The 27,705-nt window shown below is 48.6% G+C and overlaps 1 protein-coding gene and 1 long non-coding RNA gene across 10 annotated transcripts, besides 6 other annotated features; both read right to left on the bottom strand.

Annotated features, from left to right (window-relative positions):
• Positions 2,796–3,770: an enhancer, noted in NCBI's record as "OCT4-NANOG-H3K27ac-H3K4me1 hESC enhancer chr22:39509973-39510947 (GRCh37/hg19 assembly coordinates)". NCBI's record gives its function as "activates a minimal SCP1, AML or CMV promoter by ChIP-STARR-seq in naive H9 embryonic stem cells {active_cell/tissue: H9 hESC(naive)}" and the evidence as "EXISTENCE:reporter gene assay evidence [ECO:0000049][PMID:30033119]".
• APOBEC3H (apolipoprotein B mRNA editing enzyme catalytic subunit 3H) lies at positions 13,671–20,494 on the bottom strand. 7 transcript variants are annotated; one of them, XM_011529990.3, is made up of 6 exons: positions 20,395–20,494; positions 17,310–17,466; positions 16,234–16,501; positions 15,696–15,820; positions 15,133–15,248; positions 13,671–14,049 (listed from the first exon to the last, which is right to left on the bottom strand). In XM_011529990.3, exons 2-5 carry the CDS (start codon positions 17,457–17,459, stop codon positions 15,180–15,182), a joined length of 612 nt encoding a protein of 203 aa, XP_011528292.1. In that variant the 5' UTR covers positions 17,460–17,466; positions 20,395–20,494; the 3' UTR covers positions 13,671–14,049; positions 15,133–15,179. The 7 variants fall into 7 exon arrangements, with proteins under 7 accessions (XP_011528292.1, XP_011528293.1, NP_001159475.2 ...); XM_011529991.4 differs by having other exon boundaries at positions 13,671–14,046; NM_001166003.3 differs by having other exon boundaries at positions 15,133–15,226.
• Positions 19,076–19,962: an enhancer, noted in NCBI's record as "H3K27ac-H3K4me1 hESC enhancer chr22:39493781-39494667 (GRCh37/hg19 assembly coordinates)". NCBI's record gives its function as "activates a minimal SCP1, AML or CMV promoter by ChIP-STARR-seq in primed H9 embryonic stem cells {active_cell/tissue: H9 hESC(primed)}" and the evidence as "EXISTENCE:reporter gene assay evidence [ECO:0000049][PMID:30033119]".
• Positions 19,963–20,850: an enhancer, noted in NCBI's record as "H3K27ac-H3K4me1 hESC enhancer chr22:39492893-39493780 (GRCh37/hg19 assembly coordinates)". NCBI's record gives its function as "activates a minimal SCP1, AML or CMV promoter by ChIP-STARR-seq in primed H9 embryonic stem cells {active_cell/tissue: H9 hESC(primed)}" and the evidence as "EXISTENCE:reporter gene assay evidence [ECO:0000049][PMID:30033119]".
• Positions 19,963–21,372: a biological region, named in NCBI's record as "BRD4-independent group 4 enhancer GRCh37_chr22:39492371-39493570".
• Positions 20,173–21,372: an enhancer, noted in NCBI's record as "BRD4-independent group 4 enhancer chr22:39492371-39493570 (GRCh37/hg19 assembly coordinates)". NCBI's record gives its function as "activates an origin of replication core promoter dependent on BRD2, P300/CBP, MED14 and CDK7 cofactors, and independent of BRD4, by STARR-seq in HCT116 cells {active_cell/tissue: HCT116}" and the evidence as "EXISTENCE:reporter gene assay evidence [ECO:0000049][PMID:35650434]".
• Positions 20,293–20,632: an enhancer, noted in NCBI's record as "active region_19030". NCBI's record gives its function as "activates an Ori minimal core promoter by ATAC-STARR-seq in GM12878 lymphoblastoid cells {active_cell/tissue: GM12878}" and the evidence as "EXISTENCE:reporter gene assay evidence [ECO:0000049][PMID:35858748]".
• LOC101927202 (uncharacterized) lies at positions 24,887–26,676 on the bottom strand. 3 transcript variants are annotated; one of them, XR_007068102.1, is made up of 4 exons: positions 26,618–26,676; positions 25,942–26,213; positions 25,628–25,730; positions 24,887–25,208 (listed from the first exon to the last, which is right to left on the bottom strand). It is a non-coding gene; the product is annotated as an uncharacterized LOC101927202 (long non-coding RNA). The 3 variants fall into 3 exon arrangements; XR_007068103.1 differs by having other exon boundaries at positions 25,942–26,131; XR_938259.3 differs by having other exon boundaries at positions 24,887–25,730; positions 25,942–26,676.
• Between the last annotated feature and the right edge of the window lie 1,029 nt (positions 26,677–27,705).

The following is a 27,705-nucleotide window of genomic DNA, read 5'->3' as shown; positions in this document are numbered from 1 at the left end:
GGTGGTAGCGGTAGCGTCTTTTAGCACAAGAATTAATTTTAATTAGCATATAATGAGCGGTGAGGATGATCAGAGGTTTTGGCAGGTTTGGTCCGGGCCTCTTTACCGCATCCTGTTTTATCAGGGGGTCCTTGTGATCTGTAACTTGTGAAACCAGCCCTGCTGAACTACCTCAATATGAAAATAGTCTTAACCTTTGAGAAGAAGCCTTCGGTTCTAATTGATAGCCATATTTCCTGGTAATAATGTTGTAATCAACATCTTTGTATATTCCTTAAGCACTTAAATACTTAAAAAAGGGGGCTGTGTCAACCCTGAAGAGGATTACTGAGATTTTACTCATCTCCGTCCTGCATGATAAAAGAAAAATACATCCTGTTATTCCAGCAAATTGATGTTTTAATTAAGAGATCAAGGCCGGGCATGATGGCTCACGTCTGTAATCCCAGCACTGTGGGAGGCTGAGGCAGGTAGATCACCTCAAGTCAGGAGTTCTAGACCAGCCTGGCCAACATGGTGAAACCCCGTTTCTACTAAAAATACAAAAATTAGCTGGGCATGGTGGCGAGCGCATGTAATCCCAGCTACTCGGGAGGCTGAGGCAGGAGAATCACTTGAATCCGGGAGGCGGAGGTTGCAGTGAGCCGAGATCGCGCCACTGCACTCTAGCCTGGGTGACAGAGTGAGATGCTATCTCAAAAAAAAAAAAAAAAAAAGAGAGAGATTAAAAGTCTTAGATTTGCCTGTCTATTCCTATGCCAGTATCTGTCTGTCTATCTGTCAACGAAAAGAGTCAAACTCTATAAAATATTTGAATAGATTTATTCTGAGCCAAATATGAGTAAGCATGGCCCATGACACAGCCTTCAGGAGGTCCTGAGAACATGTGCCCAAGGTGGCTGGGGTGCAACTTGGTTTTATATATATTTAAGAAGGCATGAGACATCAATCAAATACATTCGAGACATATATTGGTTTGGTCCAGAAAGGCAGGACAATTCGAAGTCAGGGGGCTTCCAGGCTATAGGTAAATTTAAACATTTTCTGCTTGACAGTCGGTTTAGTTTGTCTAAAGACCTGGGATCAACAGAAAGAAAATGTTGAGGTTAAGATAAAAGATTGTGGCTGGGCACAGTGGCTCACACCTGTAATCCTAGCACTTTGGGAGGCCGAGGCGGATGGATCACCTGAGGTCAGGAGTTTGAGACCAGCCTGACCAATACAGCGAAACCCCATCTCTACTAAAAATATAAAAATCAGCCAGGCATGGTGGCACGCCTGTAATCCCAGCCACTCGGGAGGCTGAGGCAGGAGAATCTCTCAAACCCAGGAGGCGGGAGGTTGCAGTGAGCAGAGGTCCACTGCACTCTAGCCTGGGTGACAAAACTAGACTGTGTCTCAAAAATAAATAAAATAAAATAAAATAAAAGACTGTGAAGACCAAGTCTCTTTTGAAGTCTCATAGTGGCTGCCCTTAGAGACAAGAGATGACAAATGTTTCCTATCAGACCTTTAAAAGGTGCTAGACTGTCACCACCGGTAACACTCCAGTCTGGATGACAGCAAGTCTCCTTCTAGAAAAAACCAAAAACCAAAAAACAAAAAACCACCTCTGATCCCCAAGTTTTCCGTGAGACTGATTTGAGTAATAATAAAATTCCAGTCTCCTGCACAGCCTGCTCTGCGTGAATTACTCTTTCTCTATTGCAATTGCTGTGTCTTGATATAAATCAGCTCTGTCTAGGCAGTGGGCAAGGTGAACCCCTTCAGCGATCATATTGGAAAGTAAGTCATGAAACAGAGGGTTAAATAAAACTCATCTGATGAGAATTTATGGTTTATAGGGCATGACTCCCCAGACCCCTTAGATAGGAATTTGGGCAAGATTAAAAAAAAAAAAAAAGCAGAGCTTAGTCCTCATATCTACCTATCTATCTATCCATCCATCCATTCATCTATCCATCCATCTATCCATCATCATCTATCTGCTTCTGAGACCTGAAAGGCTAGTAAAGGTAATCAAAATATCCTTCTCTGATATATTTTGAGATGGCTGCTCCTGCAAACAGAAGCAGCCCTGCAAAGCGGTCTTCTATTATTATTATTATTTTGAGACTGAGTTTCATTCTGTCCTCCAGGCTGGAATGCAGTGGCATGATATCTGCTCACTGCAACCTCCGCCTTCTGGATTCGAGCGATTCTCCTGCCTCAGCCTCATGAGTAGCTGGGATTACAGGCACACACCACCACACCCAGCTAATTTTTTTTTTTTCTATTTTTGGTAGAGATGGAGTTTCCCCGTGTTGACCAGGCTGGTCTTGAACTCCTAACCCCAGGTGATCCGCCCACCTCGGCCTCTCAAAGTGCTGGGATTACAGATAGGCTTGAGCCACCGCGCCCGGCAAAAGCGGTCTTTTGTGGGGGAGATTTGCATCTGTAGAAAATCTGCATTGCTGCAGCCTGGTTTTCTCCCAGGCCCTCCCTTGTCCAGATCTAGGAAAGAGGAACTGAGATTCTGACACCCTAAAACTCTGAAAGAAACATTTACCATCTTTTTCCTCCGAGGACTGCTATCTGTGAGGTTTCATCTACATAACAAGACCACCTTTGCCAGCCAGGCCTCCTCTTCTCCCTTTCCCATAGCCTGTTTTGCCAGGATCCAAGCCCCAAATCTTTCTGTAACCTCAAGATGGTATATGAACTGCTACAGCTCTTTGTGGGGTTGGAGTGCTCCCTCTGTCATTCTCTCTCATGGACATGTTAATAAATTAGTATGCCTTTTCTCCTATTCATCTACTTTGTGTGGGCTAAGCTCTGATCTTTTCAGCTTGTGCAAATTCCTATCTAAGGGGTCTGAAGAGTCATGCCCTACTGTTATACCCGAGCGAGTTAGAGAAAACGCCACACTTTGAGACGAATTAAGAGTCCTTTATTTAAGCCGGTGGCCAAAGAGACAGCTAACGCTCAAAATTCTCTCGGCCCCGAGGAAGGGGCTTGATTTACTTTTATAGCTTGGTTTAGGAAGGGGAGGGGAGCTCAAATGCAATAATTCTACAGAAGTAAAAACACGCAAGAATCAAAAAACAAATGGTTACAGAGAAATAAACAATTTAAAAGACAAATGGTTACAAAAAAAGCAACGGAACCAGGTGCGGGGCTCTAAATCCTTCATAAGAGTTAGATATGGATGCTATGCCGGACACAGACTCAAGGCTTTATGTTGTTATCTTTTTGAGCAAAATCCTGGGAACTTCATACATTGTTTGTTCTAGTACCTTATCAGTTCATTGAGCTCCTTTGAAATGCTGAGGATCAGCTTACACAGGTTAACTCCTTGACGAAGGGGGTCGGGTAAGGAGCCCTTAACGTCTTGTAAATCAAGGGGCCAGATGGAGTTCGTCGGCTTTCCCCGCTAAGGGAGAGTCTATTCATATGGGAAACAAGGCTAGGTAATTAAGGAGACAAAAAGGGAACATTTAAAAATAGGGTTAGTAAAAACAAGGTTAAAATAAGGTTAGTAAAAAACAAAGTTAGGCATTACACTACAAACCATAAATTCTGGGAAGTGCTGGGAATATAGGTGTGAGCCACTACATCTGGCTTCTTAACCATTTTTAAGTGTACAGTTCAGTGGGTTTTTTTTTTTTTTTTTTGAAGATAGGGTCTCACTGTGTCATGCAGTGGTGCGATCTCGGCTCAATGCAACCTCCACCTCCTAGGTCCACCAATCCTTCCACTTCAGCTTCCCATGTAGCTCAGATGACAGGCATGCGCCACCATGCCCGGCTTTTTTTTTTTTTTTTTTTCTATTTTTGGTAGAGACAAGTTTCACCATGTTGCCCAGGCTTGTCTTGAACTCCTGAGCTCAAGCGATTCGCCCTCCTCAGGGAGGCTGGGATTACAGGCATGAGCCACCTCATCTGGCCCAGTGTTGTTAACTATACTTACATTGTTTGGTGACAGATCTCTGGAGCTTTTTCATCTTGCAAAACTGAAACTCTATACTCATTGAATGACAACTCTCAGTTTCCCCCTCCCCTAGCCCCAGATAGCCCTTGTTCTACATTCTGTTTCCTTGAGTTTGACTGTTGTAGATATCTCAAGGAGGTGGGATCATGCAGTATTAGTCTTTTTGTGACTGGCTTATTTCACCTGCTATAGTGTCCTCCAGGTTTACCTATTTTGTAGTGCATGACAGAATCTCCTTTTTCAAGGCTGAATAATATTCTACTATGTGTATATACCACCTACTTTGTAGCATATGACAGAATCTTCTAATATTCTACTGTTTGTATATACCACATTTTCTTTTTTATTTGGCTTTATTTCTACTTTATTTGGCCGGGCGTGGTGGCTCATGCCTGTAATCCCAGCACTTTGGGAGGCCGAGGCGGGCGGATCACGAGGTCAGGAGATTGAGACTATCCTGGCTAACATGGTGAAACCCCGTCTCTACTAAAAATACAAAAAATTAGCCAGGCGTGGTGGCAAGTGCCTGTAGTCCAAGCTACTCGGGAGGCTGAGGCAGGAGAATCACTTGAACCCAGGAGGCGTAGGTTGCAGTGAGCCGAGATCGTGCCACTGTACTCCAGCCTGGGCGACAGAGCGGGACTCCATCTCAAAACAACAAAAACAAAAACAAAACAAAAAACACTTTATTTTATTTTTTAAACTTTTATTATAGGTACAGGGGTATATTTTAAAACTTTTATTATAAACATATTATAGGTATGACAGAATCTCCTTTTTCAAGGCTGAATAATATTCTACTATGTGTACATACCACCTACTTTGTAGCACATGATAGAATCTCCTAATATTCTACTGTTTGTATATACTGCATTTTCTTTTCAAAAATACTTTATTTTTTAAACTTTGATTATAGGTACAGGGGGACAACGAATGGTTTGTTACATGGGTGATGAGGACTACACTGTGATTTTTTTGTTTTGCTCAAATTCCTATCTAAGGGATCTGAGGAGTCATGCCCTACAAATCATAAATTCTCACTAGATGGGTTTTATTTAACCCTACATATCGTGACTCACTTTCCAACCTGACTCTGGCATAGCATTACGAGACAAGGAAGAAAATAAAAATATTTTATCTTAAAACATGTTTCTTTGCCATATCTTGAAATGGCCCTGCAAAGCTGTCCTTTGTGGGGGAAAATTTGCAACTGTAAAGAATCTCTATTAATGTAGCTAGATCCAGGCCCTCCCAATCCTAAACAGATTAACTAGGAGTCTAGCACCTTTAAAAAATCTGAATAGGGCCAGGCGTGGTGGCTCACACCTGTAATCCCAGCACTTTGGGAGGCCGAGGTGGGTGGATCACGAAGTCAGGAGTTTGAGACCGGCTTGGCCCACATAAAGAAATCCCGTCTCTACTAAAAATACAAAAAATTAGCCGGGCATGGTGGTGGGTGCCTGTAATCCCAGCTACTCGGGAGGCTGAGAGGCAGGAGAATTGCTTGTACCCAGGAGGCGGAGGTTGCAGTAAGCCGAGATCATACCATTGCACTCCAGCCTGGCGACAGTGCGAGACTCCATCTCAAAAAAAAATCTGAATAGGAAACATTTGTCATCTATTATCTCTAAAGGCAGCCACTATAAGACTTCAAAAGAACCTTGGTCTCTGCAGTCTTTTTTTTTTCCTTTGGAGTGGGGGATTACAGGCACCTACCATCACACCTGGCTAATTTTTGTATTTTTAATAGAGACGGGATTTCACTATGTTGGCCAGGGTGGTCTCAAACTCCTGACCTCAGGTGATCCACCTGCCTCAGCCTCCCAAAGTGCTGGGATTACAGGCGTGAGCCACTGCACCTGGCTGGTCTCCACAATGTTTTAACCTGAACATTTCTTTTCTATGATCCTAGTGATCCCAGGTCTTTAGACAGCTCAGCTGCTGTAACCAAGCGAGTTATAGAGAAATGCCACACTTTGAGACAAATTAAGGAGTCCTTTATTAGCCGGCGACCGAGAGGCAGCTAATGCTCAAAATTCTTTCAGCCCTGAGGAAGGGGCTAGTTTTGTTTTTATACCATGGTCTAAATAGGGGAGGGGGAAGTTTAGCTGAGGCAATTGTTACAGAAGCAGAACTGGCAAAAAGTTAAAAAAATTAATTGGTTACAAATGCAGTTACAAAAAATAAACAGTTCCAGGTGCAGGGGCCTAAACTATCACGAAGAGATAAATGCAGGGGTTTTGGGTGCCATCCACCACGCGCGTCCCCAGGAGCTGCTAGTGCAGCTTGCCTCAGTATCTTCTCAGTAGGTGCATTCCTGGACGTGCTGTGAGTCGGTTTACACTAGTTATGCCTTAAGGGAGGCTGCAAGTGAAGAAACTAAAATGGAGTCTGTCCGGCTCTCTCTCTGCTAGGAGAGAGTTACTCAGGTTAAACAAGGTAGGGTATCACAAGCAAATCGTCAACTAGTGTTGTAGGAATCAAAGGACCAAAGAGACCAAATGGGTGAAACAGGAGGATTTTATTAAAGTGTGCACCGGCTCAGCAGATTCGCATCCGAAAGGCTGAGCCCTGAACAAAGACGGGGCTTGACTTTTATACATACAACTGAGGGGGTTGGCCATCTAGTTGCACAAAGCTTACAAGGCAGGCAAGCGGACTTACAGAGGCAGAACAAAGGCAGTTAATCATACAGTGACAGGTTTTGCAACCTGAGGAAAAAACAGGAACTTACCAAACTAAGGCAGGATTTACAGCTGGTACATGTCTTACCTGAGCATGTCTGATGACCTTGTTATGTTACACAGAGGAGAAACAGGAATCCGTAAAACTTTGTAAAGTAACCTTGAGTTTCACTAAGGAAGGGTTACTAAGAGGGGAGTGGGGAGCTGGGATAGGAGAAGAACCTGTTTTCTCGTCCTTGCCCATAACTGGGAGGGGAGGGGGCTCTGGAGCACATCCTTTGAGGGCTCTGGTTTTGCAGATAGTTATCAAATCTTTGCCAGAGCTCTGCTGCCTATCACCAGGTCTTGGAGTGGGTCAGCCTAGCAAGAGGAAACTTGTTTTTCTCTTTTAACCCCTGCTTCACCAGAAAATGTTTAAATTTATCATAGCCTGGAAGCCCTCCTACCTTTGAGTTGTCCCGCCTTTCTGGACCAATCTAATGTATTTCTTTCTTTCTTTCTTTCTTTCTTTTGAGACGGGGTCTTGGTCTGTCACCCAGGCTGGAGTGCAGTGGCACGATCTCGGCTCACTGCAAGCTCTGCCTCCCGGGTTCACGCCATTCTCCTGCCTCAGCCTCCCAAGTAGCTGAGACTACAGGCGCCCGCCACCATGCCCGGCTAATTTTTTATATTGTTAGTAGAGACAGGGTTTCACTGTGTTAGCCAGGATCATCTCGATCTCCTGACCTTGTGATCCACCCGCCTCAGCCCTCCAGAGTGCTGGGATTACAGGCGTGAGCCACCGCGTCCAGCCCAATGTATTTCTCAAATGTATTTGATTGATGTCTCATTCCTTCCCGAAATGCATAAAACCAATCTGCGCCCTGACCACTCTGGGCGCATGTTCTCAGGACCTCCTGAGGGCTGTGTCATGGGCCATGGTCACTCATATTATGCTCAGAATAAATCTCTTCAAATATTTTACAGAGTTTTACTCTTTTTATCGACAATGAACTTGTGACATGGGGGTTTTTGTACAGATTAATTCATCACCCAGGTATTAAGCTCGGTACAGATAAAAGAAAAACTTCAGCTGAATTAAATTTAAAAGAGTTTTTTAATTTTAATTTTTATTTTTTTTAGAGACTGAGTCTCACTCCATCCCCCATGCTGGAGTGCAATGGGTCAATCTCGGCTCACTGCAACCTCTACCTTCTGGGTTCAAGCGATTCTCCTGCCTCAGCCCCCCTAGTAGCTGGGATTACAGGCGCCTGCCACCATGCCCTGCCAATTTTTGTATTTTTAGTGGAGATGGGGTTTCGCCACGTTGGCCATGCTGGTCTCGAACTCCTGACCTCAGGTGATCTGCCCACCTCGGCCTCCCGAAGTGCTGGGATTACAGGTGCCTGGCCCAAATTTAAAGGAGTTTAATTGGACAATGAACAATTTGCGAATCGGTCAGCCCACAGAATCACAGCAGATTCACAGAGACTGAGTGCAGATACGTGGTGGAAAAAGATTTATAGACAGAAAAGGGGAAATGACATACAGAAATCGGCAGCGAGGTACAGAAACAGACGGATTGCTTACAGGTTAGCGTTTACTTTATTTGAACACAGTTTGAACACAGCAGTCTATGAGTGATTGAAGTATGGCTGCTAGGATTGGCCCAGCCTCAGTTATTGTTACAGGTGCATACTCCTAAATGAGGTTTTAAATGTTGTCTGACTGTTAAGCTAGGTTACAGTTCATCCACAAGGACTCAAATATAGAAGTATGGAGTCCTTCTCAGGCCATATTTAGTTTGCTATAACAATCCCCCTCCTCTTTTTTTTTCTTTTTTTTTTTGAGATGGAGTCTCACTCTGTCGCCCAGGCTGGAATGTAACAGTGCGATCTCAGCTCACTGCAACCTCCGCCTCCTGGGTTCAAGTGATTCTCCTGCCTCAGCCTCCCGAGTAGCTGGGACTACAGGTGCGTACCACCAGGCCCAGCTAACTTTTTGTATTTTTAGTAGAGAAGGGGTTTCACCGTGTTAGTCAGGATGGTCTTGATCTCCTGACCTCATGATCTGCCTGCTCAGCCTCGCAAAGTGCTGAGATTACAGGTGTAAGGCACCACTCCTGGCCAGTTTCCCCCTTTTGATAATTTTCTCAATTTGAGAGACTGATGAAAACATTAGTCATTGATGTCACTGTTACCATCATAAATGTGCTTATTTGGTCTTGAAACCCACTGGGAAACAGTAGAACAGTAGGTTTTGTGAGGAGGGAACAAGAACTGAGTAGACGGTACCCCTTTATGCTGGGATGTTCTGTTTACAGGAGAAAAACAAAACCTGGTGTGTTCTAGGATCTATGTTTCGTTAAAGTCTTAGTTTGATTATGTCACATTTAGCACGAGTGACTCCATTTTGTTTGGTTTGGTCTGTTGAGGCCTAGTGTATGAGCTCAGTCCAAAATAATGGCCGTCCTTAATTTTGTTTTAAAAATTCCCCCTTTTTGGCCAGGTTCTCACTTAAGTGAGAGTGTGACCAAAACTTAGGGCCTTATCACCACTCTGTTATCATTTTGGGTTGTGGGTCTCAGCATGTCATTCATAGGTCATGGTGACCTCATGGTCACACATTTCTTTTAGCTTTTGTCATTCCAGTTGAAGAGAGACCATTTGATGTTTTAGAGCTGGCTGTGTACAAACATTAAAAACCTTTGAGAGAATACAGCACATCAGGGAGACTATTATGACTATCGGGAGGATAACACCAAGAATTTGGAGTACCCAGGGTCCCCATACACCAAACCTTAAAATTAAATAGAAAATGAGCTGGATGAAGAGTCTACTCTTCATCTTGACTAAGTAGTCTTTTCATTAATCTACTACAACTGAATTTGTGTAACCTACATTTGATGTATTTCTCCACAGGCCACAAGTGTCAACAGCAGCCCAGGTACTTTTCTGTTTCGTGAATTCTATTGTTCAGCATAACTTTCACAAGAGAATTTAAAGTCTGCTGTATAATGCTACCCTTTAAAGTAGACTCTGCTGGCCGGGCATGGTGGCTCATTCCTGTAATCCCAGCACTTTGGGAGGCCGAGGCGGGAGGATCACTTGAGGTCGGGAGTTTGAGAACAGCCTGGCCAACATGGTGAAACCCTGTCTCTACTAAAAATACAAATACTAGCTGGGCATGGTGGCACGTGCCTGTAATCCCAGCTACTGGGGAGGCTGAGGCAGGAGAATCGCTTGAACCCGGGAGGCGGAGGTTCTAGCGAGCCAAGGTCACGCCACTGCACTCCAGCCTGGGTGACAGAGCGAGACTCCATCTTAAAAACAAACAAAAAAAGGGTCAGCTGTGGTGGCTCATGCTGTAATCCCAGCACTTTGGGAGGCCGAGGCGGGCGGATCACTTGAGGTCAGGAGTTCGAGACCAGCTTGGCCAACAAGGTGAAACCCCATCTCTACTAAAAATACAGAAATTAGCTGGGCATGGTGGTGGGCGCCTGTGATTCCAGCTACATAGGAGGCTGAGGCAGGAGAATTGCTTGAATCCAGGAGGCAGAGGTTGCAGTGAGCCGAGATCGTGTCACTGCACTCCAGCCTGGGTGACAGAGGGAGACTCTGTTACCCCCCCCACCCAAAAAAAAGTAGAATCTGCTATAGAGTCTATTGTGAGGGATACATACTAAGTATTGCCACTTTTATTCTAAACTATGGAAAAAGGACCTAACAAATGATGTCCTTCTAGAAGAGTAAAGGCAGTGTTTTCTTTAACTCGTGATGTGGGTTAAGAGACATGAATGAATGTTCTGTTTCTGACTTATTATGAGGCAACATATGTACCATTAAAGTTTTTCACCTACACTGGGCCTTTATCTTTTATCTATTAAAGTATAAGGTTATTCATATATAAGGCTGGCTGCAAACTCCTTTACAAATAAAAGTATACCCCATAAGTGCACATAATAGACCCCTTTTCCACTTCTATTGTTCATAGAGGCATAAATAAGAAAAAATATTCAAGGATAAGAGTCTCACGATAATAGAAAAACCTTTTTTTATTTTTTTGAGATGGAGTCTCACTCTGTTGCCCAGGCTGGAGTGCAGTGGCGCGATCTCGGTTCACTGCAACCTCCGCCTCCCAGACTCAAGCAATTCTCCTGCCTCAGCCTTCTGAGTAGCTGGGATTACAGGCTTGCACCACCACCATGCCTGGCTAATTTTTTATACTGTTAGTAGAGAAGAGGTTTCACCATGTTGGCCAGGCTGGTCTCGAACTCCTGACCTCAAGTGATCCTCCCACCTCAAATTGTTGGGATTACAGGCGTGAGCCCCCACGCCCAGCCTAGAGAAGTCTTGATCTGTGATCTTGGGAAAAGCTGTTCACATTAAGGATGCCATCTTCTTCTGGGGAGTGACATCTCTGGTTAGTTTTACTTTAAGGGTTCTGGTGGGTGAACAGTTCCAAGAATGTGGAGGGTCGCTTCTCAGTTGTGAGATTATGAACCCAAAGTTCAAGGTTCCAAAGTTTTGCTGCAATGTGGATGGCAAGGACAGTCTTTCTCTGATGTTCAGAAGATCCATTCTTCGGGTTCTGGATTGTGAAAGGGTTGTCCTCAGTGAACCACACAAAGCTTTCTTTATCTGGTGAAAATACACTGTAGCACAATAATCTACTGCTACATTAGCCCTCTTGCATGGGAAAGCTTTTATACAACCAAAAAAAAAGCACTGAAAATGACAATTGAATGAAATCCCTTTATAAATGTTTAAATGGCCCATCACGCAGCCAAATGTACCTGAAGCTTTGATTGTCTTCCCAAGAATATGCAACCAAACATTGATTTTAAACTATTTCCTTGGCCGGTCGCAGTGGCTCACGCTTGTAATCCCAGCACTTTGGGAGGCCTAGGCAGATGGATCACCTGAGGTCAGGAGTTCAAGATCAGCCTGGCCAACCTGGTGAAACCCCGTCTCTACTAAAAATACAAAAATTAGCTGAGCGTGGTGTCAGGCACCTGTAATCCCAGGTACTCGGGAGGCTGAGGCAGGAGAATCGCTTGAACCCGGGGGGTGGAGGTTGCAGTGAGCTGAGATTGCGCCATTGCACTCCAGCCTGGGCCACAAGAGTGAAACTCCATCTCAAAAATAAATAAATAAATAAAAATAAACTATTTCCTCAATTTGTAAGTCCACATATTCAATTTGGATTATTTTATCTTTTCCATGATGAGTCATGGAATATAGAACCTTTAATAACAAAAGTTTTTAGGACTCAGGAAGGACAAGGCGGCCGTCCTGGTTCTCCATGAGTCCATGCTTAACACTGGACTTATGTCCTCTTGAATACCAGCTGCTTCTCCAATCTAGGTGCATAGCAGTGATAACTAATGGGTTATCATAGGTAATTTGATTTAGACCATAAAGTTCATTCAAATTGTATATCTAAACAATTTTAATATTGGCCGATTTAGCATGATAATCTGGCAAAGTTTTTTGGTATTTCATGAATTTTTGTTTTACTTGTGTTAGCAGTTTTATAAACCAGTCAGTTGTTTTCTTTTCTTATTGAAGCAACAGGAATTCTTACCCAGTCCAATTCTTGGGGAATTGTGGAATTCATGGGAAATTCTTACTTATGATGTGATCTTTCAAAATTTATTTATTTTTACATGATATGATTTTAAAGTTACTAGAAACCTGTATTCAAAGGTGCTTTTCAGAGTCCTTTTATGAACCTTTTAAAAGATACCATATTCTAGGATTTTGCATGCTTCTGAAGTTTTCAGAAACTGCATCAGCCTTAAGCAATTAACTGTGGAAATGACTATAAATAATTATAATTTTTATTTATTTTATTTTATTTTGAGATAGAGTCTCGCTCTGTCACCCAGGCTGGAGTGCAGTGGTGTGATCTCAGCTCACTGCAACCTCTGCCTCCCAGGTTCAAGCAATTCTCCTGCCTCAGCCTCCTGAGGAGCTGGGATTACACGTGTCCACCACCACACCCGGCTAATTTTTTTGTATTTTTAGTAGAGCGGGGTTTCACCATGTTCGCCATGCTGGTCTCGAACTCCTGACCTTGTGATCTGCCCACCTCAGCCTCCCAAAGTGCTGGGATTACAGGCGTGAGCCACTGCACTTGGCTGTTTTTTGCTTTTTTCAATCAATTTTGTGGGCACCTCTGCTCCATAGAGTTTGACCTTATTTATTTGAACACAGATACTGAGAAAGGACAGAGGTTACCTGGACTACAAAATAATGCAGCGATTCTAGACTCAACAGAGACTCCTTCAATAGAGCATTGTTGTTGTTGTTTGTTTTTTTATTTTTATTTTTTTGGTGCTGTAGAATAAAATCCTTTGTACTTTTCTTTTTTCTTTTTTTTTTTTTTTTTTTGAGATGGAGTTTTGCTCTTGTTACCCAGGCTGGAGTGCAATGGCGCTATCTCAGCTCACTGCAACCTCCATCTCCCAGGTTCAAGCGATTCTCCGGCCTCAGCCTCCCGAGTAGCTGGGATGACAGGCATGCGCCACCACGCCAGGCTAATTTTGTATTTTTAGTAGAGACGGGATTTCTCCACATTGGTCAGGCTGGTCTCAAACTCCCAACCTCAGGTGATCCACCTGCCTCAGCCTCCCAAAATGCTGGTATTACAGCATTTTGGTGAGCCACCGTGCCTGGCCTTTTTTCTTATTTTTTTTTGAGATGGAGTCTCATTCTCTTGCCCAGGCTGGAGTGCAGTGGCGTGATCTCGGCTCACTGCAACCCCCACCTCCTAGGTTCAAGTGATTCTCCTGCCTCAGCCTCCCAAGTAGCTGGGATTACACGCGCGTGCCACCATGCCTGGCTATTTTTTATATTTTTAGTAGAGACAGGTTTTCGCGATGTTGGTCAGGCTGGTCTCAAACTCCTGACCTCAGGTGATCCACCCACCTCGGCCTCTCAAAGTGCTGGGATTATAGGCATGAGCCACCGCACCTGGCCTTAACTCAGTATCTTAGTCCATATGTCCTATAACAAAATACCACAGACTGGGTGATTCATAAACAATAGAAATTTATTGGCCGAGCATCTCAGCCTCCCAAAGTGCTAGGATTACAGGCGTGAGCCACCGTACCCGGCTGGATTTACAGACTTTATCTTTATTTTTTCAATTATAAAATTATTCACCCACTTAGAACAGAAAGCAATATGGAAAAAGGAGGAAAGGAAGGTCTTCTGTACTTGGATGGGGCCAGGTTGGGGCAAGGAACTGGCACTGTGGAGCTTAGTGCTTGCTTACAGGACCAGCAGGCTATGAGGCAACTGACATGCCCCAGGGAAAGTCATCTTGAGTTGCTTCTTGATAATGAGTGGGATACGGGTCCAAGCTGCAAACTTCTTAAGTCATTCTCTAAAACATCCACACTTCAGGACTGCTGAGAGGGAAAGAGAGAAGTTAGGAGGTACCAACTGGTGGGACACCACAGGGAGGAAGGGAGGGAGAGGTGAGGATGAGATCATTAGGAAGAGAAAAGAACTGGCACCAGAAGGGCCCAGAAGGCCTGGAGAAAAACACGGAGGTGACAAGAGCATCTTAGAAAAGGGAGATTGTCTGTTTACTCTGTTGATAGTTTCTTTTGCTGTGCTCCATTTAATTAGATCCCAATTGTCAATTTCTGTTTTGGTTGCATCTGCTTTTCAGAATTTAATCATAAATTCTTTGCATAGACCAGTGTCCAGTAGAGTATTTCATATTTCCCGGGTTTTCTTCTAAGATTTTTATAGTTTGAGGTCTTACATTTAAGTCTTTAATTCATCTTGGGTTATTATTATTTTTTTAAGCAAAGCCTCACTCTGTTGCCCAGGCTGGAGTGCAGTGGCACGATCTCAGCTCACTACAGCCTTCACCTCCCTGAACTCATGCAATCTCCCATTCACCCTCCCGAATGGCTGGGACCACGGGCACATGCCACCATGCCTGGCTGATTTTTGTATTTTTTGTAGAGATGGGGATTTGCCATGTTGCCCAGGCTGGTCTTTGAACTCCTGGGCTCAAGTGATCCACCCGCCTTGGCCTCCTGAAGTGCTGGGATTACAGGCATGAGTCCTCATGCTCAGCACATGTTGAGTTAATTTTTTTTTTTTTTTTTTTTTTTTTTTTTGGGACAGAGTCTTGCTTTGTTGCCCAGGCTGGAGTGCAGTGGCATGATCTCGGCTCACTGCAACCTCCCACCTCCTGGGTTCAAGCAATTCTCCCGCCTCAGCCTCCTGAGTAGCTGGGATTATAGGTGCAGAAACAGGGTTTCACCATGTTGGCCAGGCTAGTCTCGAACTCCTGACCTCTTGATACACCTGCCTCGGCCTCCCAGTGCTGGGACTACAGGCGTGAGCCACTGTGCCTGGCCGAGTTAATTTTTGTATATGGTGAGAGGTACACATGGACATAAAGATGTAAATAATAGACGCTGGAGACTCCAAAAGAAGAGAGGGTGGGAGGGGGGCCAGGGTTGAAAAACTACCTATTGGGTGCTATGTTCCAGTAGATTGGGTGACTCAGACCTCAGCATCACACAATATATCCATGTAACGACCCTGCGCACGTACCCCTGGAATCTAAAAGAACAAGAAGGAGCCCCTGGTGCGAGAGGAGAACACAAAAAAGAAACAGGTAGTGGGGCGGGGCACGGTGGCTCACACCTGTAATCCCAGCACTTTGGGAGGCCAAGGAAGGCAGGTCACTTGAGGCCAAGAGTTCTAAGACCAGCCTGGGCAACATGGTGAAACCCCATCTCTACTAAAAATGCAAAAATTAGCTGGGCATGGTGGCGAGTGCCTGTACTCCCAGCTACTCGGGAGGCTGAGGCAGGAGAATCACTTGAACCCGGGAGGCAGAGGTTGCACTGAGCCGAGATCACACCACTGCCCTCCTGCCTGGGTGACAGAGTGAGACCCTGTCTCAAAAAAGAAAAGAAAAGAAAAGAAAAAAAGGTAGGGGTAAGGGCAGTGGGCAGAGGTGTGACTGGGTATGGGGCTGCGGCAGGCGGTGAGGAGGTCGGGGGCAGCAGGCAGGACAGTGCCTCACCTTTATCCTCTCAAGCCGTCGCTTTATGGCTCGACTGTTTTTATCTAGCTCCTCTAACATCTTATAGGGGTTGAAGGAAAGCGGTTTCTCGTGGTCCACAAAGTTTTCCCAGCAGTCAGCAAACTCTGAGAGGGAAGAGGGAAACCAGCCAGGCCCCAGGGGCAGCAGCTGCAGTGCCAGGAGCTCTTGCTTCCTTTCCCCTCTCTTCTCTTCCTCTCCCTGGACATTGCTCTGTCTGGGGAATTCTCCCTCCCGGGTGGTGTCAGATCTTGGGCCTTGACTGAGCCACAATCCTTCCTTCCTGGCCTCCCACAGACCCCCCGCTCCCCGCCACCCCCCCACCCCCTGCCAACCTCCTCCAACCCGCCCCCGCCCCCCGCCAACCTCCTCCAACCCGCCCCCACCCCCCGCCAACCTCCTCCAACCCGCCCCCGCCCCCCGCCAACCTCCTCCAACCCCCAACCCCCAACCCCCAGCCCCTGCCAAGCCTGTGCCCCCGGGGGTTTGCACTCTTATAACTGCAAAGCCTCTTTCCTACCTGGGAAGCCCATGACCTCCACCGGGACCTGGGATCCACACAGAAGCCGCAGCCCCTTCTGCTGGGGCTTGCACCAGTGGTAGTACAGGCGGGAGGCGAAGATGCCCAGGTTCAGATGGTCGTGAGCCTTGATGAAGTCAACCAGCTCCCAGGCACAGGAGGAGCAGGGGCTCCACGTGAGGTAACAGGTGACTTGGTAGCACTGCGTTTCGTCCAGTCCCATGGACTTGATCTCGTTAATAAAGCAAATTTCTGCATGGCACTTTTTCTGGGGAGGGTCCCAAACAGAGAGAAGGGAGGGGAGAAGAGAGAGGCCAGGAGTCATGTGACTGGGGGCGGGGGCCGGGACGGGGGCGGGGATGGGGGGGCAGAGGGGTCTGTCCGGTGAACTTTCTAGTGCGTGGCCTGGCCTAGTGCAGGGCAAGCACCCGCTTCCTGCCTTCCCTGGTTTATACAGCCCTGCACTCACGCACCCGTGTGTTAATTCATCTGTCCCAGGACTTCCACATCTTTCTGTAAATTGGACAAAGATCCCTGTGTCCAGAGGAGGAGACAACACCTCCACGCCCCAGTCCCGAAGCTCTGTGGACCCTGCCTTTGGACACCCGCCTAGGAGGCTGTGTCCAACCCGGGATGATCCTAAAGAGCAGGTGAGAGCCGGGGCGGGGGGCGGGGAGGCGGGGAGGCAGGGCAGGTAGGGGCTGGCAATAGAGCGGAGAGGACAGGGGTGTGATGGAGTTGCACTCGGACCGTGGCACGGCACCTCGGCTTTCCCGAAGTAGTGACTGAGCTGAGATCGGGAGAATGAGTAAATGAGAGGGGCAGAAGGAGCATTCTACAGAAGGGTTGGCCTCTTCAGAGGTCCGGGGACGGGAAAGAATGGGAGTGTCCTAGGGAAACTGGGCCACTCAGATCCAGCTAAGCCAAAACCCAGGCAGGCACCAAGGGTTACGAAAACACAGAGGGTGTTACATCAAAAATTGAGAAATTTATAGGCAGGCATTTCATGTATTTTCTGCACACATCAGATGGGGTTAGCCCCTGCCGGCCCTGTGCCCAGAGAGCCCGTGTGGCACCTTGTTTTCAAAGTAGCCTCTCGTGGGCGTGGAGCCATTCTGCGGCGTCAGCTGGTAACACAAGAGGGCCTTCCTCGGGTAGTAAGGCCTTCTGAGGCGGCGCTTGTTGTTAAACTGTAAGCGGAATGTTTCGGCTGTTAACAGAGCCATCGTGTTTCTGTGCAACAGAAAGGGGAAAACCAAAGATGAAGGGAGCGTCCTCTTGAGTCACCCCAGGCTCAAGCCACTTTTCAAACCCAACTCTTTTTTGTTTTTTGAGACAGAGTCTCGCTCTGTCGCCCAGGCTGGAGTGCAGTGGCCCGATCTTGGCTCACTGCAACCTCCGCCTTCCAAGTTCAAGCGATTCTCCTGCCTCAGCCTCCCAAGTAGCTGGGATTACAGATGCCTGCCACCACGCCTGGCTAATTTTTGTATTTTTAGTACAGACGGGGTTTCACCATGTTGGCCAGGCTGGTCTCGAACTCCTGATCTCAGGTGATCCACCCACCTTGGTCTCCCAAAGTGTTGGGATTACAGGTGTGAGCCCCTGCGCCCAGCCAAACCCAACCCTTTCTGTTCATTTGGGCCCTTCCCCTTGGTGAGGGAGGGTCTCCCCTTTAGTTGTTGGCCAGGAGGACTGCAGTGGAGCAGGGGAAGGAAGGGCTGGCAGGAGGACAGGAGGAGGGGAGTGCTCCCTCCCACCTTGTCTGCTATCTCCCATCCTCCCACCTGGGAGGGCACCGGCTGCTGCCCACAGCTGAGGCTCTTTGCATGGGGATGCCCCGACCTCGTCACTATTCTTCCTGGGTTGGGTGGGGATCCCCTGCCTGAGAACTGTGGGTGTGCCTTTCTGGCTCCCCTGGGCTCAGAGCTGCTCTGAGCTGCTCACACGCCTCTGGCCTGAGTCCCAGATCCCTCTTTCCAGCTGCAGTTGGACACCCCCTCCTTGAGGTCCACAGGCCTCTCGACCCCTACATGTCCAATACCAGAACCCTTCCCCTTGGGGAGTGATGGGGTGGAAACTGGGGCTTCCTCCAGCACTGTGCTCTTTGCTCAGGTGTGTGTTTGACAAGTTTGTCTGCACAGAACACAGTTGAGTGAACAGAAAAGCTGTTGTCACCAAGGGAGTGTTGTGACACATTTTTGGCTGAAGAAATTACATAGATTTTGCTCTCCTGAATTGTGATTACATTCTACAGAGGATTCAATTTTGGATTTTGCTTTTTTTTTGTTTTTGAGAGAGAGTCTTGCTCTGTTGCCCAGGCTGGAGTGCAGTGGTCCAATCTCAGCTCACTGCAAGCTCCACCTACCAGGTTCAAGTGATTCTCCCGGGTTCAAGCAATTCTCCTGCCTCAGCCTCCCAAGTAGCTGGAATTACAAGCGCCCTCCTTCATGCCCGGCTAATTTTTGTATTTTTGTAGAGATGGAGTTTTACCATGTTGGCCAGGCTGGTCTTGAACTCCTTTGACCTCAGGTGATCCACCCACCTCGGCCTCCCAAAGTGCTGGGATTATAGGCGTGAGCCACCGCGCCCCGCCAGGATTGTGACCCATGCGCTCACCTCCTGTCTCCCCGAGGGCCTGAGCTCCTTTTCTTTGGCCTGTCTGATTGATGGTTGCCCATCTACTTTCTATTCTGCTTTCTGGAAAACCCCTGAGCATTTCAAGCCTCCAAGTCCTGAGAATTTCTGCAGCTTTCCCAAGCAGGAAGACCAGGGAGAGGAGAAGAGAAGGAGATGCTGGCAGGGGCAGCAGGGCCGGGGTGACCTCTCCCAGCTCAGGGCCCTAGCTCTGGTCTTTCCAGGGATGGATCTCCCATCCTCCCAGTATTTCTGCCACCCATCCTCTAACCCATTAAAAATAAGAAAAGTGAATAAAATTCTCCCCTTCAAAATAAGAGCTCTTAATATTTCAGTTCAATTAATTCCTGGCATTTTACCTATTCATGTTATTTTATTTTATTTTTTTAGTTTTAGTAGATAAGGGGGTCTCCCTGTGTTGCCCAGGCTGGTTTGGAACTCCTGGCCTTTAGTGATGATCCTCCCCTCTCAGCTTCCCAAAGTGTTGGGATTACAGGCATGAGCCATTTTGCCTGGCCAGGCAGGAAAATGGCGTGAACCCAGGAGGTGGAGCTTGTAGTGAGCCGAGATTGCGCTCCAGCCTGGGCAACAGACTGAGACACCCCTTCTCAAAAAAACAAAACGAAACAAAAAATCAGGGTAGCACTTCCATCCCCAGGCCCAGGCCACTCTTCTAAGTGCTGAGAGGATCTGAGCTCACGTGAGGCTGCCCTAGGCCTGCAGGGGCCATTCTCATCTTACAGAGGAGGGGCCAGAGGTGCAGAGAGGTGGGGTAACCTGCCCAGGCCATGGAGCTGGGCCACTTTCCTGGCCAGCCCTGCCAGCCTCTGCATCACGGGCCCTGCAGGAGGGAGCCTTTGGGAACCAGGCTCTCTTCTTCCTAAATTTTAAAATAAAAGCATTTCTCCTGATCATTGAGTTTTTCCGTATATTCCGTGTTACTGGTGTCATTATAAACGGTGAATGTGAATACTGATCATGGAGGAGGAGTGTGTGTTCAGGGTCATCTGCATCCTCCTCTGCCCACAGTGGAGACATCCTTGGAAGAGATGATTTGCCTTGTGCTTCAGAGATCATTGCCTCCCCACACCCTCTCCTAAGACTTTGTATTGAAACAAAGTAATCTTACACAAAGTTCATCAAAGCACTGTGAACAAAATTCCAGATTGCTCCCATCATCCTTTAGTTCAGTTCTCCCAGTTCCAGAGCCCAGGAATGGCAGGAAGCACACAGAGAGAGCACCCTCCCAAGGTGGGGAGCACTAGCCCAGCCATGACTCTTAGGGGAGAGTCTCAGCAGGGGTCTTGGGCTGGTGCAGGCCGGGGAGGCGGCCCGTTCAGAAGCAGCAGTGGGGTGACCACACAGCAGGGCAAAGAGCCTGGGTGGGAGTGGGGATGGCAGGGGAGCCAGAGGAGAAGGAGCCCAGGGCTGGGGCTGGGGCAGCGGGAGGCCAGGGCTGAGGCACAGAAGGGCTGCCAGGCAGGAAGTGGCAGCAGAGGGCCCAGTGGACAGAGTGGGCGGCAGTACCTGATCTGTGCTTCTGGCCACAGCTTCCTTAGCAGACTTGCCCCTGCTTGTCTGAGGCACTAAGTTTCACTTTTGGCAGCTCTCCCAAAAGTCACAAAAGGTCAGCTCTCCCAAAAGTCACAAAAAGTCACTGCTTGATGAGGGTGGCTCCACCCTCTTCCTTTTGTGGGACTGGAGTGGGAGGGCCCTGGGGTGCTTCAGATCCCTCAGGCTCCTTTCTTTCTCTATTTCCTCGGGCTTGGCAGGGGAAGTCTGATGGAGGTGGCTCACCTCCCATCCTCCCACCCCCAATTCCCTCTCCAGGTACAGCCAGACTCAACTCCCTCCCCAGGTATAGTTTACAAAAGAACAAAGGCCAGATGCGGTGGCTCACACCTGTAATCCGAACACTTTGGGAGGCTGAGGTGGGCAAATTACAAGGTAAGGAGATGAAGACCATCCTGGCCAACATGGTGAAACCCCGTCTCTGCTAAAATACAAAAAATTAGCCAGGTTTGGTGGCCTGCGCCTGTAGTTCCAGCTGCTTGGGAGGCTGAGGCAGGGAAATTGCTTGAACCTTGGAGGCAGAGGTTGCAGTGAGCCGACGTCGCACCACTGCACTCCACCCTGGCAACAGAACGAGACCCTGTCTCAAAAAATAAATAAATAAATAAAAATAAAAAAGAAAGAAAAAAGAAAGGAATTGATGGCTGGTCACGGTGCCTGTTATCCCAGCACTTTGGGAGGCTGAGGCAGGTGGATTGCCTGAAGTCAGGAGTTCAAAATCAACCTGGCCAACCGCACTCCAGCCTGGGCAATAAGAACAAAACTCCGTCTCAAAAACTAAACTAAACTAAAATAAATGAAAGGAATAGAAGCCACAGAAAGGAGCAGGGATCCAGACCAGGGCTGACACCATAGACCAGATGCCACTCCCCTGGTGGACAGGGCAGGCTGCAGCCCCCTCCCCACCACCCCACTGACCTTTGGCATTCAGCCTCCTGGCAGGACCCTGAGCCTGATGTGAAATGAGCACTGGGGTCAGGCTCAGGACTGCATCTCCAGCGGATCCAGTGCCCATTATCTAGCCCAGTCCCCAGATAGCACTGGGAGGGGAGGGCAGTGATCCTGACAGTCAGAGGAGGTCCCAAGCACAGAGAGGCTAAGATACTGTCCCCACGTCACACAGCAAATCAACAGCAGAGCTGGAGTGCTGGCCAGGACTTCCTGTGTCCCTTCTCCCCCACAGCTAGCTACTTTGAGGTTCTTCATTGCTCCATGGAAAGGAGCAGGAGAGGAGACACGAGGGAGGGGACTTACTGCTCCTAAAGGGCCTCCCAGGTCAGAGATGAAGGACCTGGACTTCACATTTGCATTCTGGAACCCATGTCCTCGTCTTCATGCATATCAACCAACACCCTTCAGATCATAAACACCAAAGAGCCAGGCCAGGTGCTGTGGCTCACGCCTGTAATCCCAGCACTTCGGGAGGCTCAGGCAGGCTGATGACCTGAGGTCAGGAGTTCGAGACCAGCCTGGGCAACACGGTGAAACCTCGTCTCTACTAAAAATACAAAAATTAGCCAGGCGTGGTGGCGGGCATCTGTAATCCCAGCTACTCAGGAGTCTGAAGCAGGGGAATCATTCGAACCTGGGAGGCAGAGGTTGCAGCGAGCCGAGATTGTGCCACTGCACTCTAGCCTGGTCGACAAGAACGGGACTCTGTCTAAAAGAAAAGAAAAAGAAAAACCAAAGAACCCCTAGGAAAGTTGAATCCCAAGGGCGAGGACTAGGGGCAGTCACTGCGGAGTCTAGGTTCCACACCAAGGAGTCCCATTGAACCTTGCCCAGCTTGTCCCTCCATATCCTCCCGCCCTGCACACCCTGACAGCCCTCTAGACCCTGCATGGCCCCTGGGGTCACAGGAGCTTGGGTGAGAATTTAGAAGGTTCCTGGGAATGGCATCCCCTCCACCCTATCTGTCCTAAATGTTGGGGCTACAGTCCATGGAAGATTCCAGAATGAGCGGGGTCCTGCCAGGAGAGACATCAGATCTGCACACTGTAGTGCTGGTTAATCACAGAGCTGAGTCTCCCAGGCTGAGAAGCAGGGAGGATGGAAAGGAAGGCGGAACCCTTTCCTGGTCCTTCCCACAGGCAGCATTCCCACTACTCCTCCAGTGAATTCCTGCAGCAGAGACCCTGTGGTGTCTAGGACGGGCCTGTGCTTAGGTGTTATCTCCAGGAGGACGGGAGGTTAGGCTGGCCACTCTGGCCTGTGTTCGTTGCTGCAAAGGGGGACCCGATCCAGACCCCAAGAATGGGTTCTTGGATCTCTCACAGGAAAGAACTCAAGCTGAGCCACAGGGTGCGGTGAAGTTGTGATCATTTATTAGAAGCTCCGGCACTACAGACTAGGGAGGCCTCAGAAGGCAGAAGGAAGAACGTCCCGTCTTTGTTTTAAGCTTCTTTTTTTTTTTTTTGAGATGGAGTCTCGCTCTGTCACCCAGGATGTGGTGCAATGGTGCGATCTCGGCTCACTTCAACCTCTGCCTCCCAGGTTTAAGAAATTCTCCTGCCTCAGACTCCCGAGTAGCTGGGTTCACAGGTGTGCAGTGCCACACCCAGCTAATTTCTGTATTTTTAGTAGAGAGGGGATTTCATCATATTGGCCAGGCTGGTTTCAAACTTCTGACTCCTGATCTGCCCACCTCAGCCTCCCAAAGTGTTGGGATTACAGGTGTGAGCCACCACGCCCGGCCTAAATCTCCCCTTTATAAGAACACCAGATTTATTGGATTAGGAACTACCCCAATGACCTCATCCACTGTGCCTGGCCTAAACTCTCCTTATATTGGAGTCTTACCAATGTAAAACCTAAGCCATGTCTACATGCAAGCAAGCTGACAGTGTGACAAAATTTATTACTTTGTTGATTTAAAGAAAGTTATCCAGGGCCTGGCATGGTGGCTCACACCTGTAATCCCAGCACTTTGGGAGTCCGAGGTCAGCCTGGCCAACATGGTGAAACCCCATCTCTACTAAAATTGCAAAAATTAGGTGGGCGTGGTGGTAGCATACCTGTAATCCCAGCTACTCGGGAGACTGAGGCAGGAGAATCTCTTGAACCCGGGAGGCAGAGGTTGCAGCGAGCCTAGATCCTGCCACTGCACTCCAGCCTGGGCGACAGAGCGAGACTCCATCTCAAAAAAAAAAAAGATATCAATGAGATATGCATATCTTATTTAAAGTGTATGATTTTTAAACCATGGTCTTTTGGTTTAGTTTTAAGAACAATAGATTGGGCCGGGCACGGTGGCTCATGCCTGTAATCCCAGCACTTTGGGAGGCCGAGGCTGGCCGATCACCTGAGGTCGGGAGTTTGAGACCAGCCTGGACCAACATGGAGAAACCCCGTCTTTACTAAAAATACAAAAATTAGCCAGGCGTGGTGGCGCATGCCTATAATCCCAGCTACTCGGGAGGCTGAGGCAGGAGAATCGCTTGAACCCAGGAGGCAGATGTTGCAGTGAGCTGAGATCAAGCCATTGCACTCCAGCCTGGGCAACAGAGCAAAACTCCATCTCCAAAAAACAAACAAACAAAACAAAAACAACAACAAAAAACAACTCCATCTCAAAACAAAAAGAACAATAGATTGAATAATCCCTATAATGTTTGAAGACGTTACAGGCGGGAGTCCCAGAAAATATCTTGGCATGCCTTTGAACTTTGATTTCATTTGTAATCCAGTTTTTTTTTTTTTTTTTTTTTTTTTTTTTTGAGACAGAGTCTCACTCTGTCATCCAGGCTGGAGTGCAGTGGCATGATCTTGGTTCACTGCAGCCTCTGCCTCCTGGGCTCCAGCAATTCTCTTGCCTCAGCCTACCGAGTAGCTGGGACTACAAGCGCCCGCCACCACGCCCAGCTAATTTTTGTATTTTTAGTAGAGACAGAGTTTCACCATGTTGGCCAGGCTGGTCTCAAACTCCTGACCTCAGGTGATCCACCTGCTTTAGCCTCCCACAGTGCTGGGATTATAGGCGTGAGCCACCGCGCCCTGCCTGTTGCTCAGTTTATCTAGGTAATTTAGTTTGACATCAAATACACAAAAGCACAATAAATGCAAGCACTGATGGGAAATAAAGTAGGTGTTTACCAGGAAGGATGATAGCTTTCTCCAAATGAGGGGGAATCACCTCTTCCAAACTTGTCGAGGTCCAAACCTCACAGCCCAGATCAACGGGAGGAAAACAACCCTCCTAACAGAAAATCTCCCAAACAGGAAGGGGAAAGACCCCTCCCCAGCCTTATCCCAAATGAAACAGAATGCAAACCCAATTCTGGAGTTTTGTCCAAGAAAGATCTGCCAGGGGGCAGAAGAGGTTACCAGCGTGGGTACCTCCCACCATCGTTCTGTGGGCTGCTGATTCCCCTGGAGGGAAGTGAGAATTGGATCCCACTTCTGACCCCACGTATGTTGAAGTCAAAATAAAACTATGGAGAGAAATTTCTAAATTTAATGTTTTATTTGGGAAGAAGAATTGCAGTTCAGCGTGTACATGAAGAACAAAGGGAAGGTTAAAGATTTTACAAAAAGGAGAAATATTTCTGTTCCTCTTTTCAGAGAGTTCATGGGCCCTAGGAAGGGTTGGGAGCCGGCAGGTTCCATTGATGAGCCACTGTGATAGGCATCGTGGGTCCCAGAGTTGCAGCAGTTTATCTCAGAAGCTGTAGGTAAAGCTGGTTTCAGGGTACAGTGAGCAGTTTCAGCCATCAGGCTTGTGGAAGCGACGTTTTGCAAACTGAGTGGTTTCCCCTCCTGGCTCCTGGCCTCTGTTTGAGTTGGGTGTGACAAGAATGACCCAATACTTACCATCGGTTTTTTACAAAAGGTGTTTCTCAAAACTTAACTTTCACACTTATGTATATTTCTACTACCTATTTATATCAGTTCAATGACAAGATTTAGGTATGATGAGGAGATGGAAGGAGCCAGGCTAGGGGCCCCCAGGATGGGAGGAAGGAGACTGGGGGGTGGATAGAGGTTGCTATGGAGGCAGAAAGCAGCCTCTCACAGGCAGGGTCAGGAAAGTGGGGAAGAGGCAGTGAGGTGGGGGGCACTGAGGGGTGGTACTCAGGGCAGGAGCAGCTCAGAAGGCCCAGGCAGGGGTGAATCTGATCCAGGACAGAGGGAAGGCATCAGGAGGCTGAGCAGGAGCCGAGAGGAGCGAGGGCATCAGCTGTGAGGCTACCCTGCAACTTGGTGACCGGAGATGGGTAGTTTTCACGCTGTCCCTTGCAAGGCTGACATGGCACATCTCTCTTGTACACAGTCTTCTCAACAGTGTTCAAATTCTGAGATAAAAGAGGGGAGAAAGAAGTCAGGCCCGGCAGACCTCTCTCCCCTGACCCTGGGCCTGCCCCTCCTAGGTGTGATCTCCTGGCTGTCAGTGCTGGCTCAGTCCCTGCAGGCTCTCCTGGGACATCGTCCCAATGGCATCCCAGACTCCCCTGCCCCTCATGCTGTCCCTCCCCCACACACACCCCTCAGGCCCCAACCTCTCACCCTTAGAAGACATGATGTGCACGCGTGCCTCTGTGTCCTGCAGTCTGCGAAGCCCGTGCTGGAATCCCGGGTCACAGTCGTGATAGAGGCGGGCAATGAAGATGCTCAGCTTCACTTTGTTGTACTCGGCCACTTTTACCACATGGTCCGGGCTGGGGCTCCGGGATATGAACCAGGTGATCTGGTAGCACTTGTAAGGAGGCAGCACGTTGCAGGTCAGGACGGGAAGCACATGTCTGCTCTGTGAGACCGGCTACTTTTGCCCTTTCTCACTGCAATGTCAAGTTGAGGAGATGCCTGCCAGTGGCGGCTCACACCTGTGATCCCAGCACCTCGGGAGGCTGAGGCAGGAGGATTGCCTGAGCCTAGAAGTTCAAGACCAGCTGGGGCAACATGGAAAAACCCCATCCCTACTAAACACAAACACACACACACACACACACACACACACACGGAAATTAGCTGGGTGTGGTGACGCACGCCTGAAGTCTCAGCTACTTGGGAGGCTGAAGTGGGAGGATTGGTTAAGCCCGGGAGATTGAGTCTGCAGCAAGCTGTGATCTTGCCACTGCACTCCAGCCTGGGTGACAGGGTGAGACCCTTACTCAAAAAATATGTATAAATAAAGAGTGGAGACAGATGTCTACAGGCAAACGGGCTTGCTGCTGACACCGACCTCTCAAGGGGTGTGCCTTGCCCCTTACGCTCCTCTCTGCTCAGGGCCACTCTCCCACTGAGGATGCCCTTCGAGGACTCAGGAGCCTTCCGTGTTCTCAGAACCCTCTGACAGGCAAGGCCACATCCTTCCGTCCTGCAGGCTCAGGGCCCCGGTAGAAGGGATGTGACTCAGAAAAGGTGCCAGAGTCTTGCCTGCCTCCTCCCTACCCCCCCAGAAAGCCCTGTGCACCGTTAGGCAGGTGTGGGGGCAACTTTTTCAGACTTTGACCACAGAGGCCACTTTACTCCTGACCCGGGTGGCTCTCTGGGAAGCAGTGCCTGCCCGGGGTGGTGAGGGCCGGAGAAGGCAGTGGGAGGAGGATAGGGCCCCACCCTGGAGGGTGGCTGAGGTACAGACCCTGAGGGACAGCAGGCACCTTCCACGGCAGCCCATCCTATGCCTGTGGGTGCCAAAACCACAGCGCTGCCGGTGGCATCACCTCCCCGAGGGCTTCCTGGGTGGAGGGGCTGGACCAGAACTTGTGGGCAGGAAGACTGCCATCACGTCAGGCAGCTTGACTCAGGGAGAGGAGGAGACTCAGACTTGCCCAACGCCTGGTGCGTACCAGGTCTGTCCCAAATCCAGCCCTCACTGCCCTCCAAGTGCACAGTTGAGAGGGAGGTATAATTGCCCCCACTTTACAGATGAGTAAAGAGAGGTTTCAGGGGAGGTGACGTGCCGAGGTACGGGACAGTGGCAGGCACAGTGGGCTCTTAGACCCAGGCTCGCCTGCCTGCCCACCAGTGCTCTGGTCTCCACTCTCCAGGTCCCCATAGAAGTGTGTGGAACCATTACCCCCTGCCCCAGAGTGACACAGAGGGTCACAGTCTCTGTCCAGAATTTTCTGATTGGCACAGGGCAGACCTGATGGTGGGCGTTGTTGCTCTGTGTGCAGGCACGGCCCTGTGCCAGGTCGTCTCCCCCAGCCCTGCTCCTGACAGTCCCTGGACCACGCCCACCTCCATCTCAGTCTTCCCACCCAGGGAACGTGGCCACAAGCCTACTCCACCCTGGCCAGCTCCCTGAAACACACCAGCATCTTGATT

Source organism: Homo sapiens, chromosome 22 (genome assembly GCF_000001405.40).
Source record: "Homo sapiens chromosome 22, GRCh38.p14 Primary Assembly".
NCBI lineage: Eukaryota > Metazoa > Chordata > Mammalia > Primates > Hominidae > Homo > Homo sapiens.
Note: the sequence above shows the minus strand (reverse complement) of the source record. Positions and strands in the feature narration are given on the sequence as shown.